Below are 19,495 nucleotides of genomic sequence, written 5' to 3' on the forward strand. Positions count from 1 at the left end.
CTCTTTTTTATTATGATGGAACCCAACCTTACGATGGAAGTTTGGGTTATTAATTTGAGATCTTTCTTATTTTTTAATATTGGTTTTTACAGCTATAAATTTTTCTCTAAGAACAGCATTAGCTTCATCTAAAACTTTTTGGCATGTGTGTTTTCATTTACCTTTCTTCAAAATATCTTTAGTTTTCCTTATTATTTCCTCTTTCACTGGTTATTTAGAAGTGTGCTTAATTTCAACATATTTGTGAATTTCTAAAATGTCCTTCTGTTATTAATTTCTAATTTAATCCCATTGCAGTCAGAGATAATAATTTGTATGACTTCAGTTTATTTTAAGTTTATTGAGGCTTATTTTATTGCCTAACATAGTCTGTACTGGAGAATGTTCCATGTTCCCTTGAGAAGACTGTGTATCCTACTGTTGTTGGAGGGAGTATTCTATAGAGGTCTGTTAGGTCTAATTAGCTTAGAGTATTGTTCACGTCTCCTATTCCCTTTTGGTCTTCTGCTTAGTTGTTCTATCCATTATTGAATGATGAGTAGTTTTTATGTCTTTTCAGGCTCTGTTGTTAGATGCATATATGTTTATACTTTATATATTCCTTATTGATTGACCATTTGCCGTCATAAAATATCCTTTATTTCTAGACTTGTTTTAAAGTCTGTTATGTCAGATATTAGTATAGCTGCTGCAGCTTTCTTATAGTTGCTCTTTTCATGATATATGTTTTTCTGTTTACTTTTAAATATGTCATTAAATCTAAAGTGTATCTCTTGTAGATAGCACATCATTGGATCTTATTTTTATCCAATTTGAGAACCTATGCCTTTTGATTGTTTATTCATATTTAATGTTATTATTTACATAGTTGGATTCACATCTGCTGTTTTTCTTGTGTTCTATGTCTCATTTCTTTCTTCCTTTTTTTTTTTGCTCCTCTATTCCTTTTTTACTGCTGCTTTTGCATTAAGCAAATATTTTCTGGTGTAATATTTTAATTAGTGATTTTTTGGGAATTTAGAAAAAAGTTAGTTCTTAGTGGTTGCTCTCAGAATCTACTTCAGAATTAGTCTAATTTCCAGTAAGGTATAGAAATGTTACTCTTATATAGCTATATTCCTTCTTTCCCTTTTTTTGTGTTATTACAATAATACATTACTATAATTGTTACTTTTTATAATTTTTTGTCTTTTAAAGAAGCAGAAAGAAGAACAGAGACCAATATGTATTTTTAAAGTTTGTTATATTAAGTTTCTTATTTACTGTTTCTGATTCTTTTCATTTGTTGCTGGGTTTTTAGTTGTCATCTTGTGTCATTTTCTTACTCCAGAATGGCTTTGCTCCCACATACATCCTTTGTGTTGTGATTGTCCATTGTATTACATATATTCTATATATATTTTATATGTTGCATGCCACCAATACAATTATGTACATGTAGTTTTATGCAACTGCTTCCACAAATCAGATAAGAAATGAGAAGTATGCATTTATACTGTATTTTATAATTACATAGTTACCTTTACTGGTGTTCTTTGTGTGTGTCTGTGTGTGTCTGGTCTGTGTGTCTGTGTGTGATCAAATGGTCATCTGAGTTCACTCTTAATCGTGAGGAAATTCCTTTTGTATTTCTTGTAAGGCTGGTCTGCTTGAAACTATTTCCTGTTTTTTTTGTTGTTGTTGTTTGTCTGTTTTTTTAAAATCTGGGCATGTCTTTATGTCATCTTCATTTTTGAAAGATAGTTTTACCATATGTAAGATTTTTAGTTGACGGGTTCCCCCCCTCCGCCGGCCAGCAGTTTGAATATGTCTTTCCACTGCCTCTGGGCTTCATTATTTCTGATGAGAAGTCAGCTGTTAATCTTATTGGAATTCCCTTATGTAATCAGCAGTTTCTTGTTGTTTTCAGGATTTTCCGTTTGTCTCTCATTATTTTACTATGATGTACCTGGATATGGATCTCTTTATGTTTATCTTACTTGGAGTTTGTTGATCTTCTTAGATATGTAGGTTAATGTTTTTCATCAAATTTTGGAAATTTTAAATTATTTCTTTAAATAGTCATTCTGTTCCTTTCTCTTCTCTACTTTGGTGCTCCCATCTCATGTATGCTGGTGTGCTTAATGATGTCCACATTTATTTGAGACTCTGTTCATTTTCCTTATTCTTTTTTCTCTCCTGTTCTTTTTTCTCTCTTACTGTTTTTTCTCTCTTGTTCTCTGATTGCATAATCAGACTGTCTTGTATATTCACTGATTCTTCCTTCTGCCAATTCACATCCACTGTTGGGACCCTCCAATGAATTTTTCATTTATGTTACTGACTTTTCAACTCTGGAATTTCCAATTATTAAAAAAAATAATTTCTACTTCTTTATCCATCTCTATTTGGTAAGACATTGTCATCATACTTTCCTTTGCTTCTTCTTTTTAGTTCTGTGAGCATAGTTATTATGGCTGCTTTGAAGTCTGCTACATCCAACATCTGGGCCATCTCATAAGCAGTTTCTATTGCCTATTTCTTTCTTTCGTTTTTTTTGAGACAGAGTCTTGCTCTGTCACCCAGGTTGGAGTGCAGTGGCACAATCTTGGCTCACTGCAACCTCCGCTGCCCAGGTTCAAGCAATTCTCCTGTCTCAGCCTCCCAAGTACCTGGACTACAGGCGCACACCGCCACACCCGGCTAATTTTTGTATTTTTAGTAGAGATGGGGTTTCACCATATTGGTCAGGCTGGTCTTGAACTCCTGACCTCAGGTGATCCACCTGCATCGGCCTCCCAGAGTGTTAGGATTACAGGCATGAGCCACAGCGCCTGGCCACTGTTGCGTGTTTTTCTGTTTATTGGTCTCAGTCTTCTGTTTCCTTATATGCCTCATAGTTTTTTTTTGTTATTATTGTTGAAAACTGGACGATTTAGATAACGTAGCAACTCTCGATGCTGATTCCTTCCACCCCATAACACTCATGGGGCAGGTTGTTGTTTGTGTGCTTGTTTAGTGGCTTGTTTGGACTATTCTAATCAAGTGTATTTCCCTCACAGTGGGAAGTCTCTGATGTTGCTCCTCAGAGTGCAATCCTGGCATATACGCTGTCACCCTGGAATGACAGTGATTTTAGCAGTGCTCTCTTTGACTTTCTGTTTTCCTGACGTCTCTGTTAAACTTTCTGCCTTCGTTGGCATCACATTCGGCTGTTAGATTCCAGTAATTGCTGGGTGATTATTATTTTCAACAGTGTCCTGGGGCATAAGTTATTCCACAGTCTGATCCAGTTAAATTTGGTCCTCTTTGCAGTGGCATATTATCCCTTATATGCAAGTGATTTATTGAGGGAATACTTTCAGATGAAACCATAGGAGTAAGGAAAATAGGATAGGCAGAGATCAGCAAACCTGTGGGTTCCCCAGAAGTCTAGCTTTAACCTAATCTCGGGGAATTCTAGAGCTTGAATGACATCTCAGAATTAGCTCACCTTGAGGTAGAGGGGCTGAGTTTTTACCTTAACCTGCAACAATCTTTCCTTCACTGCAGGCTGTTCTGTCTCTCCGTCTGTGTGTGTGTGCACGTTTGTGTGCATGTGTGTGTGTGTGTGTGTGTGTGTGTGTGTGTGTGTGTGTTGGAGGCATATAACCTCCCAGGCATCAATGTTGTGTGGAGTGCTTCTCATCTGTAGACAAGGTACAACTGTGAGTCCTTAGCAGTGGGAGGTGAGTGCACCACCAGGTAAAGGAAGCTACTATATACTCCAGCAGCTAGAAAATATCCAGCCACATTGTGCCGAAAATGTCAAAAGGAATAAGTGACAGAATGTTTTCATTTTTCTGTTTTGTTATTTATTTTGACTTTTTAGTGGATTAAAACCCCTAATCTTCCCAATCTTGGCTTTTTATTTTATTTTTAAATTGTGATAAAATTCATATAACATAAGATTTAGCATTTTAATAATTTCTACATATAAAGTTATTTGGCATTAAGTACAATTTACATTGTTCTGCCACCATTATCATCTATCTCCACAACTTTTTTTTTTTTTTTTTTTTTTTTGAGACAGAGTCTTGTTCTGTAGCCCAGGCTGGAGTGCAGTGGCGTGATCTCGCTCACTGCTGACTCCACCTCTTGCTCCCAGTTTAAGCAATTCTGCCTCAGCCTCCTGAGTAGCTGGCATGCACCACCATGCCCACCTAATTTTTGTATTTTTAGTAGAGACGGGGTTTCACCATGTTGCCAGACTGGTCTTGAACTCCTGACCTCGTGATCCACCCGCCTCGGCCTCCCAAAGTGCTGGGATGACAGGCGTGAGCCACTGCGCCTGGCTCTCCACAACTGTTTTATCTTCCCAAGCTGAAACTCTTATTAAACACTAACTCCCATTCCCCAGTTTTCACCAGCCCTTGGCAACCAGCATTTTACTTTCTATCTCTATGACTATGATTACTCTAGATACCTAATATAAGTGGAATTATATGTTTTTCTGTTACGGGTTTATTTCACTAAGCATAATGTCCTCAAGATTTATCCACATTGTAGCACATGTCATACTTTTCTTCCTTTTTTAGGCAGAATGAAAGCCCATTGTATGTATATATTACATTTTGTTTATCTGTCATTTATCAGTGGACATTTGTGTTGCGTCCTCCTTTTGACTATTGTGAATAATGCTGCAGTGAACATGGGTGTACCAATATCTGTTTGAGTGCAGTGCCTGGTTTTCCCAGGCCAGTCTCTGAGGTTTGTTCTCACTGCAGGAAGGCTCTTCTTCACTTTTTCTTTTCCTGGTTCTCTTGGGTAAACTTGCTGACTTAGAATTTAGCTTATTACTCTCATGAAGCTACCAACCTCCTTTCAATTGCTTAATACCAGAGTCTTCATTGTTTTCAAGAGCACCCTTATGTTTGTGCTTCTCCACACTCTGTTCTACATAAGGTCAGTGTCTTTGGGGAATTCTTTGGAGCTCTTTGTACTTACCTTCTACCTCACCCCCTGATTATAATCCTTGAGCCACTGCTCTAGATCTGGGGGCACGAACAGTGGCCTCCCTCTCTTGGAGTGATATCCTTGCTTTAAGAGCATGGTGCTGGGTGAGATGGCAGTCTCTGGTCTTGGCTTGCCTCTCTCAGTGTGGAGCCTCTCTCGTATGAGCAGGCCAAAGTGAGGGCAGCTGGGTCCCCAATATCCATGGTTGTTATTACTGTGGTATAGCCTCTGTTCTATGACATCCTCCAGGGGCTGGGAGGATGAAGGAGGGCTGGGTGGAAGAATGGAGCCCTTATTCTCTCTGCCATACTCACCTTTTTTTTTTAGCCTCTGCAACACAGTTGGGGCAGGTGTAAGAAATTCTGAATGCCTGTCCTTTCTTTGGCTCTTGACTGAAACCCTGGCAGGAAAGAGAGCCCTGCCTTCTCAGCTACTGCCACTGGGTAGATCTGTCACCTGAACTGGTGGTTGGGAAAAGGTGGATGTGGGTCATGGGTCAAGGGCCACAAACTCTTACTGTTCTTACCAAGTATGTAGTATATTTTCTTGGATAAATGTTTCTTCTTTTCCTGTATGCTCTTAGGACAATTTTCAGAAATTCAAATGGTGTTTTAAAAAAATAATTTTCATTAGTTAGAGTTGTTTCATTAGGGAACAGGTTTGTGGAATTAGGGTTGTTTCACTAGGGAACAGGTTTGTGGATTTCCTCACACTTTTATTCCAGAAGTGTATCCCCCTCAAATATTATTCTTGTTTTATTTTTTCCTAAATAGAGGTAACATCAATGTAAAAAACAGCCATTTTAAAATGTGTATTTCAGTGACATTTAGTACATTCACAGTGCTGTGCAGCCATCGTCTCTATCTAGTTTTAAAACATTTTTCATCATTACAGAAAGAAACCTTGTACACATTAAATAGTCACTCTTCATTTTCTCTCTTCTAGCCCCTGGCAACCAGTTTTCTGCTTTCTATGATTTTACCTATTTTGGATATTTCATGTAATAGAGGAATATAATATGTGGTTTTTGTGTGTGTCTGGCTTCTTCCACGTTAGCGTGCTCATTTATATTGTAGCATGAATCAATACTTGTTATGTCTGAAGTTTCATGCCCCCCCCCCATAATTCATATGTTAAAACCTAAATCACCAATGTGATAGTTTGAGGTAGGTCATTTGGGTGGTAGTTAGGTCATGAGGGCACATCACTCATGAATGGGACCGGTAGTAGTCTTATGAGAGAGAGAGAGAGATCCTGAGAGCTAGCTTGCCCCTTCCACCATGTGAGGATGCAGTTACAAGGCACCATCTATGAACCAGAACTCACTAGACATGAATCTGCTGTGATCTTGACTTCCCAGCCTCCAGAGCTGTGAGAAAGAAATTTCTGTTGTCTGTAAGCTACCCAGTCTACAGTATTTAGTTATAGCAGTCCATATGGACTGCTATGTGGGCAATACCAAGAAAAATCCTGTCTCAAGAAAAAAAGTACTACTCTTTTTATGGCTGAATAATTCTCATTATATAGATAGTCCACATTTTATTTATTCATTCATTAGTTGATGAACATTTGTTTCTACCTTTTGGTGGTTGAGAATATGCTGCTATGAACATTCATGTACAAGTTTTGGTTGAATGCCTATGTTCAGTATTTGGGGTAATTACCTAAGAGTGGAACTGTTGGGTCATATGGTAATTCTGTATTTAACTTTTAGAGTCTATTTTGTGAAGTGTCAATAGTTTGGAGTGCACAAGTCTCTGAAACTGCCCTTCATTGTTGAAGATACAAGCTCGACTTAACAGCCTATAGCAGAGCTTTTAGGCAAGCATCAGAGTATAATAAAACTATCTGTAGATGATGGACTTTAACAGCTATGGCTAATTAATCAGTGTAACCAATAATATGAGAATGGAAGAGAGTAAAATTTCCTATCAGGTTTATTACATAACAGCTACTTTAAAAGTTTGATCAATGAAAACACAATATCGATAGCAAGGGCATTGGCAAATCTCCAGGGACTTCCCATAAAGAGTACAGTTTCAGAAATGTTTGTGTTAGTACATTTTTTACCTATAGACATTTAATCTAGGAAGGCTAAGCATCTCTTTTAATTTGATAACTCTTCCCATGCAATTTTTACTAGAGTAGCACATCCAACAAACCTAATAGTTTCTTGCATTTCATTTTTTGTAAGCTGAAAGAATAAATAACTGAACTGTTCTAGGGTTCCTCTGGGAAACCTTAAAGATAATTTTAGGTGTAAAAGATGTCTTGAGGCTGGGTGCAGTAGCTCATGCTTATAATTTCGGCACTTTGGGAGGCCAAGGCGGGAAGGATTGCTTGAGCCCAGGAGGTTGAGACCAGCCTGGGCAACATGGAGAGATCCCATCTCTACAAAAAATTTTAAGAAAAGTCCGGTGCGGTGGCTCACGCCTGTAATCCCAGCACTTTGGGAGGCCGAGGCAGGCGGATCACAAGGTCAGGAGATCGAGACCATCCTGGCTAACATGGTGAAACCCCGTCTCTACTAAAAATACAAAAAAAAATTAGCTGGGCGTGGTGGTGGGCACCTGTAATCCCAGCTACTCGAGAGGCTGAGACAGGAGAATGGCGTGAACCCGGGAGGCGGAGCTTGCAGTGAGTCTATATCGCGCCACTGCACTCCAGCCTGGGCGACGGAGCGAGACTCCATCTCAAAAAAAAAAAAACAAAACAAAAAAACAAAAAAAAAAGAAAAAAAACCCAAAAAATTAGCTCGGCATGGTGGTGCTGGTTATCTATTTAGTTAACATGAAAATGAATCATTTAAAAATAAACATAGATAACTTGATTGTGAAGAACCTCAGCTCTTTCATAAGTGAGAAGAAACCTTTTTTGCTTGCTTAAATAATAAAAAGTATAATAAAGTCCCTATGAAACACAGAAAATTATTCTGGCAAACAGACTCACTGTTATATAGGCGGATTACACAGAAGGTAAAGAGTAACCTTTCGTATTGTAGGCAGAGGCATTAACAAATAACCAAGGAAACAAGCCCAACAAGATTAAGCAAATGTTGCTAAGTTTGTAACATATTTCATAACTGGTTTTCAGACTCAGGTATTATAAACCAAGGCAGATATACATCATTTTCCAAGTTTTGTCCTTCACTGTGCTCTTTCATATTCTGAAACAAACACTTGACTCTAGAGCACTGGTTCTTTGTTTGGGGTCTGTGAGGTCAAAATTATTTTTAAATAATCCTAAAAGGTTATGATGATGAAATTTTATGTGTCGACTTAACTAGGTTAAGGGCTGCCCAGATAGCTGGTGAAACATTATTTCTGGGTGTTCCAGTGAGGGTGTTTCTGGAAGAGACTAGCATTTGCATCAGTAGACTGAGTAAAGAAGGTCTGCCATCGCCAATGTGGGTGGACATTCAATCCACTGAGGCCTCAAATGGAATAAAAAGGTGAAGGAAGGGTGAATTCTTTCTCTCTTCTTAAGCTGAGACATCTGTCTTCTCTGGCCCATGGACATCGGAACACCTGGTCTCAGGTCTTCAGACTGTGGGGCTTACACGAGCAGCCCCCCTGGTTTGCAGGCCTTTTGACTTGGTCTGAATTATACCACTGGCTTTCCTGGTTCTCCAGCTTGCAGACGGCATGTTATGGTACAACTTGGCTTTCATAATGGTGTGAGCCCATTCCTGTAATAAATCTTTTATATGTCTTTATATATCCTATTAGTTTTGTTCCTTTGGAGAACCCTGACTAATTCAGAAATTATTTATGTTAACATGCATTGCATTCATCATTGCTGTTTTCACATGAATCAATCAATAAATGTTTTTAAAAATTCTGTTTTAATTTTTAATTGAAAAATATTGATAGTTATAATCCACGTAAACAAAATCTTTTTGGAATTCTCAATCAGTTTTAAGAGAACAAAAATTTTGATAACTACTACTTTAGGATGAAACTACAGATGACCCTTGAACAACACAGGATTTAGGGGCACTGTCCCCTCATTGCAGTCAAAAATATGAGTATCAGCTGGGCACGGTGGCTCACGCCTGTAATTCCAGCACTTTGGGAGGCCAAGGCGGGTGAATCACTTGAGGCCAGGAGCTTGAGACCAGCCTGGCCACCATGGTGAAACCCCGTCTCTACTAAAAAAATACAAAAATTAGCCAGGCGTGGTGGCGTGCGCCTGTAATCCCAGCTGCTTAGGAGGCTGAGGTGGGAGGATAGCTTTAACCCCATGAGGTGGAGGTTGCAGTGAGCCAAGATTGCGCCACTGCACTCCAGCCTGGGCGACAGAGGGAGACGCCTCCCGGGCTCAAGCGATCTCTCGCCTCAGCCTCCTGAATAGCTGGGATTACAGGTGTACGCCACCACACCCAACTAATTTTTGCATTTTTTTTTTAGTAGAGACAGAGTTTCACCATGTTGGTCAGGCTGGTCTCGAACTTCTGGCCTCAAGTGATTTGCCTGCCTCGGCCTCCCAAAGTGCTGGCCTGGCCGAGTATCACTTTTGACTCCCAAAACTTAACTACTAATGGCCTACTGTTGACTGGAAGCCTTACTGATAACCTAACAATCAAAACATGTTTTCTATGTTATGTTTATTATCTACTGTATTCTTACAATAAAGTAAGTGAGAGAAAAGAAAATGTTATTAAGAAAACCATAAGGAAGAGAAACTATATTAATATCCACTAAGTGGAAGTGGGTCATCATAAAAGTCTTCATCCTCATCATTTTCATGTTGAGTAGGCTGAGGAGGAGATGGGAGGAGTTGGTCTTGCTGTCTCAGGGGTGGCAAAGGCAGAAGAAAATTGTGTATATATAAGTGAATCTGCATAGTTCAAACCTGTGTTGTTCAAGGGTTAAGTGTACTCAATTTTCTTGAAAAATAAAAGCATCTACACAATTGTATTATATTTCTCTCTTACTATTTTTCCTAGTATTATCTTAACTGCTGGTAATGATTTTAAATTTTTAATCCAAGTAACTAATTTATATTTCACATTAAAACACTGGGATTAAACATTGAGAACTGTCTGTTGTACACAAGAATTTTATCACACTTGGAAAACTCATGAGCACACGTAATATAAACTCCTATAGCCACAAACATTCCTTTTATACCTTCTTAAAGTGGCAAAACTGAACACTTTCATTAACATGTCCCAAAACCATAGCCTTTATATAACATATAAAGAAACAAATATATAAACTTAATTGTGCTTAGTAATCAGTCGTCTTGGGTTCTGTTGTACTAAAAATTAATTAGATATCCAATTATTATTTATTAATTAACTTAATATCAAGGTTTTGTTACCTAAAAATGTTGGAAATTATTTTCATACATGTTTAAATTAAAAGTTTGTCAGAATAATTTATTTGAGCGCGAGTTTACCTTTTCATCATCTTAAATATTATGTAGGGTAATGTTAGCTTATGTGATCAGTAAACCTGTATGTGTTTAGGAAAAAAAATCTTAGCAGAATAAAATGATTAATCAGAGACAAGAAATAGCTATTTTTAAAAACTGAAATTATCAAGGTTTGCCAAAATTGTATCTTATTTAGGTGACCTTGGGTTTTAAAAATGTTTTTGAGTTAGTTTCCATAAGAATTTTTCTTAAGTCTAACACATTTAACATATTAGAAGTTCAATTTCCTTGTTTTGGGGGAATTTTACAAATATTCTATTTATATAAGTACTTATTTGTATCAATAAGCCAGTCAGAACAGAGTTTCTTTCATTCAAGAGACTTTATAGTTTAAACTATTAATAGAGATAACTTGTTTTACATACTTAATGAAGAGGTAAAAGTCTTTCTGAATTACAGATGCAGAGCTTTGTAACTTTGTTTCTGTAACTTCACTCACAGGTCAAGAGATGTAAGAGTCACAGAGATAGAAAAACTCATTGGTCCAGATGTCAAAGACCTGTTCTTGGTGGACATGAAATTCTTAACTGGATTTGAGCTCAGAATAAACAGATATGTTAAAAAGACTAACAAACCAAAGTCTCTTTTATCTTTTACCCAAGTGATCTCTATCATCCGTCTATAAGGATCACCAAGTAAATGATCATAAAATCGAATTCTCAATCATTGCTGCCATTTAGGGGTGATAACTTACTGGCCATGCAGTAACTAGAAACCACACCAGAACATATAATTTGTAGAGAGGATGGGGGAAGCGGGGATGACCCAGAGAAACAGGCAGCAAAGTTAAGTATATATTGCTGCTTGGGTTTTACTTCTGGGAGCCAAGAAAAGATAATACCCAAGCTTGAGTAGCCCATGAGGTGCAATTATCTGATAAAGCAGTTTTCTTGGCTCTGTCAGGTGAATGCACTGGGCATTTTGGTAAAACTTCCAAAACTATTAAAAGATAATTTTCAAAAAGGTAAAATCATGACCCTCACACAAATGTAAAATGAATATGTGCCAAAGATTGTATTTAACTTATTAAGAGGGAATCAGTATGATGTTACAACTGTTTCAAAGGCAATGGCAAAAAACAATATAGGATTTGGGAATGCTGAGATGGATATATAAATGGATACACAACTGGTCAGTATCCACAGGGCAGTAATCAATTGTATTCCACTGACAAAAATATATCTGCATTTTTTTGGACAAGAGTCATTTGCATTAGTATCAGCTTTCTACAATTTATAAAGTTGTAAAATAGCCAAAAGACAGTGAAAGGCACAGATAACCCCAAAATATGCTAGATAGGACATTCAGTAATCTTTTTTGTCCATTTCAGTTTTTTAAAATTGCCATTAGAAACATTTTTTTCATTTGTCTTTTTACTGTAGTTATACTTTTATTTTTTGCTGTGCAAAAGTTTTTTATTTTATGAAATAAAATTTATCAGTCTTTCCCTTTTTAGCTTGTGAATTTTGAGTCATAGGAAAGTTTTCCAGATTCCGGAGTTATAGGGGAGTCCACCCATGTTTTCTTTTGGTACTTGTATGGTGTTTTTTAATGTTGCATCTGATTCTGTTTGCATTTTCCTGGGGTGTGGCATGAGGAGTGGCTCTTTATCTTTTTTCACGTGGCAACCCAGCTATCCTAGTACCTCTTATTAAAATGTAGGTCTTTTTCATGTTGATTTGAGATGGTGCCATTATCATGTACTGAATTTTTATACGCAGTGATACTGTATGTGGGTTTCTTGGTTCTGTTCATTGTCTATATGTCTATTCATGTGCTATGCAGCACTTTTAATTTTGGAAGCTTCGTTGTTTTAATATCTGGTAGGGCTACCTGCATCTCATCGCTTATCTTTTTCAGGGATTTCCTGGTGACTCTTCCTTATTTCTCTAAACAAACAATAAATTTCTCTAGTTCTAGAACACTCAAAGTATTTGATTGGGATTGAGCTATAATTATAAATTAATTAGGGAGAACAGGCATGTTGATGATATTGAGTCTTCCTATCCAAGAACATGTTATGTCTTTCAAGAGAGTTAAACTTTTCCATAAATAAATTTTAGAATTCCTTAAGATTATGTGTAGGTGTTTTTTCTCACTATTTTAATTGGGCCCTCCCTTCCTTCCTCCCTCCCTTCTTTCCTCCCTCCCTCCCTCTTTTTTTTTTTTTTTTTGAGACAGGTTCTTGCTAGAGACCAGGCTGGAGGGCAGTGGCATGATCATGACTCACCTTGTAGCCTCAACCTCCTGGGTTCAAGTGATTCTCCCACCTCAGCCTTCCGAGTACCTGGGACTAAAACCTTTAGTATTTTCTCATTAGGAGAGCTCTGGCTTTTGTGCTGAGGGATTTATATTTTATCATGTTAAGGAAACATTCATCAATACCCACTTTATTTAGTGTTTTTAACAAGAAAGTTTGTTGAATTTTGTCAGATGTTTTTCAGCATCTATGAAGATGGTCATACGATTGTTTTGCTCCATCAGTGTGATTGAAATTAGTGCTTGGCTAATTTTTAAAATTTTTTGTAGAGATGAGGTCTTACCCTGTTGCCTAGGCTGGTGTCAAACTCCTGGGCTTAAGTAATCCTCCCTCCTTGGCCTTCCAGAGTGCTGGATTACAGGCATGAGCCACCATGGCAGGCCCTTTCTTTTAAAAAAAAAAAAAAATGAGACAGGGTCGCACTCTGTTGTCCAGGCTGGAGTGCAGTAGCATGATCACCGCTAGCTGTAACCTCAAATTCCTGGGCTTAAGGGATCCTCTCATTTCAGCCTCCTGAGTAGCTAGGACTATAGGCACATGCCACCATAACTGACTAATTTTTATTTTTCCTTGTAGAGGCAGGGTCTCACTATGTTGCTCAGGCTGGTCTCAAACTCCTCACCTCAAGTGATCCTCCTTACTTGGCCTCCTAAAGTATTGGGATTGTAGATGTGAGCCACCGTGCCTAGACAGGGGCCTTACATTGTCATTTAATTGGTTTTTGCTCATATATAAATGAATGCTGGTGATCTTTGTATGCTAATTTTTAAACTGTTTATTAAGTTTTCTTATTGTTTATAAATTTTCACCACTGATTCTGTTGGGTTTTTCAGTTACGTAATCATATAGTCTGTATTTAGAAATAATTTTACTTCCTTTTCACTTCTTAAACCTTAGATTGCTTTCTCTAGTCTAACTTAACAATCCAATAATTGCAATACAGTGGTTGAGACAGGGGGCATCTTTTTTTCCTGACTTTAGCAGGGGAAACCTTTAGTATTTCTTCATTAGGATAGCTCTGGCTTGTGGGCTTTTTTTTTTTTTTTTTTTTGAGATAGAGTCTCACTCTATTGTCTAGGCTGGAGTGCAGTGGTGCGATCTTGGCTCACTGCAACCTCCGCCTCCTGGGTTCAAGTGTTTCTCCTGCCTTGGCCTCCTGAGTAGCTGGGATTAAAGGTGCCCACCACCACGCCTGGCTAATTTTTGTATTTTTTTAGTAGAGACAGGGTTTCACCATGTTGGCCAGGTTGGTCTTGAACTCCTGACCTCAGTTGATCCGCCCGCCTCAGCTTCCCAAAGTGCTGGGATTATAGGCATGAGCCACCGCGTGCCACCCAGCTCTGGCTTTTGAACTGAGGTATTTATATTTTATCATGTTAAGGAAGTATTCACCAATACTGCTTTTATTAGCAAGAAAGGCTGTTGAATTTTGTCAGATGTTTCTTCTGCATCTATGGAGATGGTCATAGGATTTTTTCTTATTTGCTCCGTCAGTATGATTGAATTTATTAATGGATTTCCTATTATTGAAATAGTCCTGCTTCTTAGAATAAACCCCATTTGGTCATGACAATTTGCTCTTTCAGTGTGTTTTTGAATTCTGTTGGCTAGTATGCTTTTAAAGATTTTTTCTTTGATATTTATAAGTGAGATTACTTTGTAGTTTGCACTTTGGTGCACTTTGCACATTGGTACAGACTTTTTCCGATCTTTGGATCAATGTTACACTCATTTCATTAAACAAAATTGGAAGTTTTTCTTTTTTTGGCATTATATAATTAGTGTAGGTGTTATCTTTTTTTTTTTTTTGAGATGGAGTCTCGCTCTGTCACCAGGCTGGAGTGCAGTGATGCGATCTTGGCTCACTGCATCCTCTGACTGCCTGGTTCAAAGCGATTCTCCTGCCTCAGCCTCCTGAGTAGCTGGGATTACAGGCATGCGCCACCACGCCCAGCTAATTTTTGTATTTGTAGTAGAGATGGGGTTTCACCATGTTGGCCAGAATGGTCTCGATCTGCTGACCTCGTGATCCAACCACCTTGGCCTCCCAAAGTGCTAGGATTACAGGTGTGAGCCACCATGCCCAGCTGATGTTATCTATTTTTAAAAGTTTCTCAGAATTACCCCTGTGAAAATCAATGGATCTGGTGCTTTTGGTAGAGGAGTCTTTTAACTCTTTTCTCTGTTTCTTTTGTGATAATTGGTCTGTTTTAGACTTTCTCTCTTGAGGGTCAATAAATTGTGTTCTTTTGAAAAATTATCATTTCTTCAAGTTTATCAAATTTATTTGAGTAGACTTGTGTAATGTTACTAAAAATAAGATTTCAGCCTAGCACGGTGACTCATGCCTATAATCCCAGCGCTTTGGGAGGCTGAGGTGGGAGGATCACTTGAGCCCAGGAGTTTGAGACCAGCCTGCGTGACATAGGGAGACCCAGTATCTACAACAAACAAAAACCAGATTAGCTGGACACCTGTGGTCTTAGCTAATTGGGAGGCTGAGGTGGGAGGTTGGGGCTGGAGTGAGCTGTGATTGTGTTCCTGCACTCCTGCCTGGGTGACAGAACAAGACCCTGTCTCAAAAAAAAAAAAAAAAAAAAATCATAGGCCAGTTGCAGTGGCTCACGCCTGTAATCCCAGCACTTTGGGAGGCCAAGGCTGGAGGATCACTTGAGTCTAGGAGATCGAGACCAGCCTGGCCAACGTGATGAAACCCTGTCTCTACTAAAAATACAAAAATTAGCTGGGCGTGGTGGTGCATGCCTGTAATCCCAGCTACTCAGGAGGCTGAGGCAGGAGAATCGGTTTGAACCAGGGAGTCAGAGGTTGCAGTGAGCTGAAATTGTGCCACTGTACTCCAGCCTGGGTGACAGAGTGAGATTCCGTCTAAAAAAAATAAATAAAATAATAAAATAATAATTTCTTCTCTTTCAATGGTTATATCCCACTTGTCAGTCCTAATTTTAGTATTTTTTGTATTTAAATTTAAATTTTGTGTATTTGTAATTTCAGTCATTGTTTTCCCCTTTTGTTTGGTTAACTAGTGGTTTGCCTGTTTTGTTGATTTTTTTAAAAAACCTGTTTAGTAGTTCCATACATTTTCTGTTTTCTAACTCATTCCTTTCTGCTTTTATTTTTAATGATTCTTTCCATTTCTTTTATTCTTTTCCTAGCTTTTTGCATTTTGTACGTAATTCATTTATTGACGTTATTATTTAATGCTGTTCTTCTTCACTGATGATTGCTCTAGGTGTATTCTACATGTTCTGATATATCTTCCTTATTGCTCTTTTAAAGCAATTCTGCTGTATTTATTTCCCCTTTGATCCAAAAGTTTTTTTATATTATGTGTTTTTTATAACTTTCCAAGTATGGAGAGTCTTTTTTATTTGTTAAATTTTGCTACTAATTTCTACTTTTATTACATTATAGTTAGATCAATCTGTTTTTATTCTATTCTTTCAAATTAATTGAGGTTTTATTAGTGGCTTAATATATGGTTAGTTTTCATGAGTATTCTATGTGGTCTTCAAAGTGTATGGTTTTTTATTAGGCTTCACAGTTTTATACACATACATGCCTTATTAATTAAGTTCATTATATCTTCTAAAGCCTCATGTTATTTTTCACCTGATCATTCTTGGATTGAGAGAGATATGTTAAAGTCCCCTTTTATTAACTTGTTTCTCTTTTTTGTTGCATCTCCTTTAGTTTCTGTTCGATGAGATTGGTTTTGAATTTTTGGGTATATAAATATTAATGTTACATCTTTATTTTGAAAAATAAAGATATTTATAGACTTTATAGTCTTTAGCATTGTAAATCATAAGTGAATTATAAATGCACAAATAATAAGTGTAAAGCTCAATTAATTTTATGTTTTGTTTTCTATGATTGAGTAGTATTCTTTTTGTTTTGCTGTGAAGTCAGCCCTTCAGTGAATTTCTTCTTAACTGTAGATTAAGATTCCTGTAAAAGACTTGGGTTGAGTATATAGTTCATCTCTTAAGCTATTACGCAAAGTGCACATTAGATCTGCTGTAGTCAGTCTGATATTTTTGTTTAATTTTCTGAAGTTTTCTGGGAAAGCAGTCTATATTTGCATTCATTAATCTACTTGTTTAAACTTTTTGAATTAAAATTTATTTTCGCAATTCATTTTATCCTAGAGGACAAATACAATTAAATATAGTGGGTGTTTTCATCTCTCATTTTTTGCATTTTACCAAATGCCCAAAAGTCAACAGGAAGAGATACCTCTTTGGTCAGGAATGTAAAAACAGGAAGGAGGAAGTCTATTGCAAATCTGTGCTGGCTGATTATGAATTCAGGTTTCACCATGGAGGATGTTCATTAATGATCATCAGTGTGCTGTGCTGTTATTCAAAATTACAGTGAGTATTAATGTCAGTAATACAGAATGTCAACACTAGTTATAGGAGGCAATGTTAACTAACACACGACACTAGACTTTTTTCTGTGCGTGGAAACAGGATACTATTTGTGAGAACAAGTCAAGTAAAATTCAACATCAGAAATATACAGAAAATCGTTCTTCATTTTTATGCTTTTGCTTGCTCTTGATGCTTTGAAGGGTCATATAATCCTTTAAGATATGAATGTATCTTTTAAGAAACATATTAAAGTATATCAATTCTGTCATTACAAATTCTTTGACAGAATCTCTTCAAATAAATTAGAGGAAGCATCTGGGCATTATTTTATAAAGCATTTTACGAGCACATATAGCAAACTAGATGAAATATTTCATGGAAAAACACATAGAACGTGAGTTTTATGTAAACAAGAAATATTTTTCAGTATTCCGTGGTGAAAGAAATTGGATTCTGGGCCAGGCACGGTGGCTCATGCCTGTAATACCAGCACTTTGGGAGGCCGAGGTGGGCAGATCACTTGAGGTCAGGAGTTTGAGACCAGCCTGGCCAACATGGTGAAACCCCATTTCTACTAAAATATAAAAAAAATTAGCCAGGTGTGTTGGTACATGCTTGTAATCCCAGCTACTTGGGAGGCTGAGGCAGGAGAATTGCTTGAACCGGGGAGGCAGAGGTTGCAGTGAGCTGGGATTGCACCATTGCACTTCAGCCTAGGCGACAGAGCAAGACCATGTCACAGAAAAAAAAAAAAAGAAAGAAAAAAGGAAAAAAGAAATTTGGATTCTATGTATATACATTTTTTTCCTCTTTAGTTGCTAGAAACTCTCAGTTACTCTGTAGCTACAGGCTATAGCATTGGTTTGAATACCAAGCAGCAGTATTTTAGGATACTTACCTTAACTTCAGTTTTTTACTTAGCAGTACAATATTGTTGGTGTTGTGAAAAAACTAAAAGTGTGTAAAATTTATATGGCATATCATCATCATCATCAGCCTGGTGACCTCTTTGACATGCTGTTTTCATCAGGAGTCTAGTAACGTAAACCATGTCTTGACCCTTATTTCTGGATTATTATGTGGTAGGGCTTCCCATTCTTTATATTGTGACACAAACAGAAAATTAGATTGAGAGCTAAGATGATCAATATTGTGGTATTCCCATAACTTATTCATTTGGGAAGATATGCTCTAATGTGCTAGTCAGATGAAGGTGTCTGTAAACCTTTTTTAATTGTAAGAAATGTGTGTGTGTGTGTGCACCCCCACACATGCACACCCATGTGAGCATCTTTGTCCAGGATTTAAAAAAAATTTGTAGTTGTGGGTAATCAAACCAACTTGAGTTAGCTTAAGAAAAAATGAAAAAATAAATGGTGAAAGTTACTGAGGTATTTTATAAAAATCTTAGGGCAGCCAAACTTTTTGAAAGACTGGAACAAAGAAGTGGACAACCATCTTTCTTTCTATTTCTCCTTGATGACTTTGTCTTCATCCTTTTGTGAAGTCTGACTTTCTCTGCTTCTCTCTGTACTTGGTGGAGGATGACCACCTATAGCTTTTATATGTTAGGCACATACCTGACTATCTGAATTCCAGTTAATTTAAAATTCCTGAGAGTGTATCAGATTGTACACCCCTGTTGCAGTGTACTTTGAAAGAGGCTATGCAGCTTGTCCAACCTTGTCAATGGGTAGCAGTTCTCAGAGGGAAGGTAGGTATTATAGCTGTGTTTGTGCACTTTCCTAGGGAGAACTATAACTTTGATTATAATTAGAGAGGAGAGTCATGCTATCCCCAGGCACAGCCTAAATAAAGATTAAGAATCACTGTATGGGAATTACAGTGAAATTCCCAGTAACAACAGATATCTTTCATATCAGTTAAACTGTTTGAATTATGCACAATGCCATGTTCTTTCCTGTCTGTCTTTACCCGTAATTGAATACCCTCCTCCTCCTTTCTCTACCAATTCAAATATTACCTATTATTGAATTCTCCTATTTCCTCCACGAAATTTTTCCATCTTAGAATACTGCATTCTACATGGATACACACACAAATATATTTTATATGTCTGGATTCTTATAGCATGGACTTTGAAAATGCTACACAGCATTATTTTGTTGTTTGTAAATGTATGTCTTTGTGTATGAATAAGTATGTTTTGAATATAGCCCTAATTAGATTGCCCCTGAGACCTGTGATTTCATACATATCTCATGAATTCCTACTGTGTTACATAACAGAATGCCATGAGTACAACAGACTTAGTAAATCATTTTGGACTGAATTAATGAAAAACACAAACTTTCTTTATAGAAAAACTTAAAAAATATAGAAGAATAGAGAGCAGAAAAAAATCACTTTTATTCCCACTAAAGGATAATCATTGTTGACATTAATTTGAGTTTTTCTATGTAAAGTG

The 19,495-nt window shown here is 37.2% G+C and overlaps 1 protein-coding gene across 12 annotated transcripts in view; it reads left to right on the forward strand.

Moving 5' to 3' along the window:
• The window catches only part of EXOC6 (exocyst complex component 6), a 232,660-nt gene that overhangs the window by 29,415 nt on the left and 183,750 nt on the right, over nt 1-19,495 (forward strand). Inside the window, exon 1 of one of the 12 annotated variants that reach the window (XM_017016347.3) lies at nt 16,599-17,067. The exons of the other annotated variants lie outside the window; for them this stretch is intronic. Coding sequence (XP_016871836.1) covers nt 17,030-17,067 — 38 coding nt within the window. The 5' untranslated portion in view covers nt 16,599-17,029. Of the gene's footprint in view, nt 1-16,598; nt 17,068-19,495 lie in introns of those variants that run through there. 12 annotated transcript variants of the gene reach the window in all.

Source organism: Homo sapiens, chromosome 10 (genome assembly GCF_000001405.40).
Source record: "Homo sapiens chromosome 10, GRCh38.p14 Primary Assembly".
NCBI lineage: Eukaryota > Metazoa > Chordata > Mammalia > Primates > Hominidae > Homo > Homo sapiens.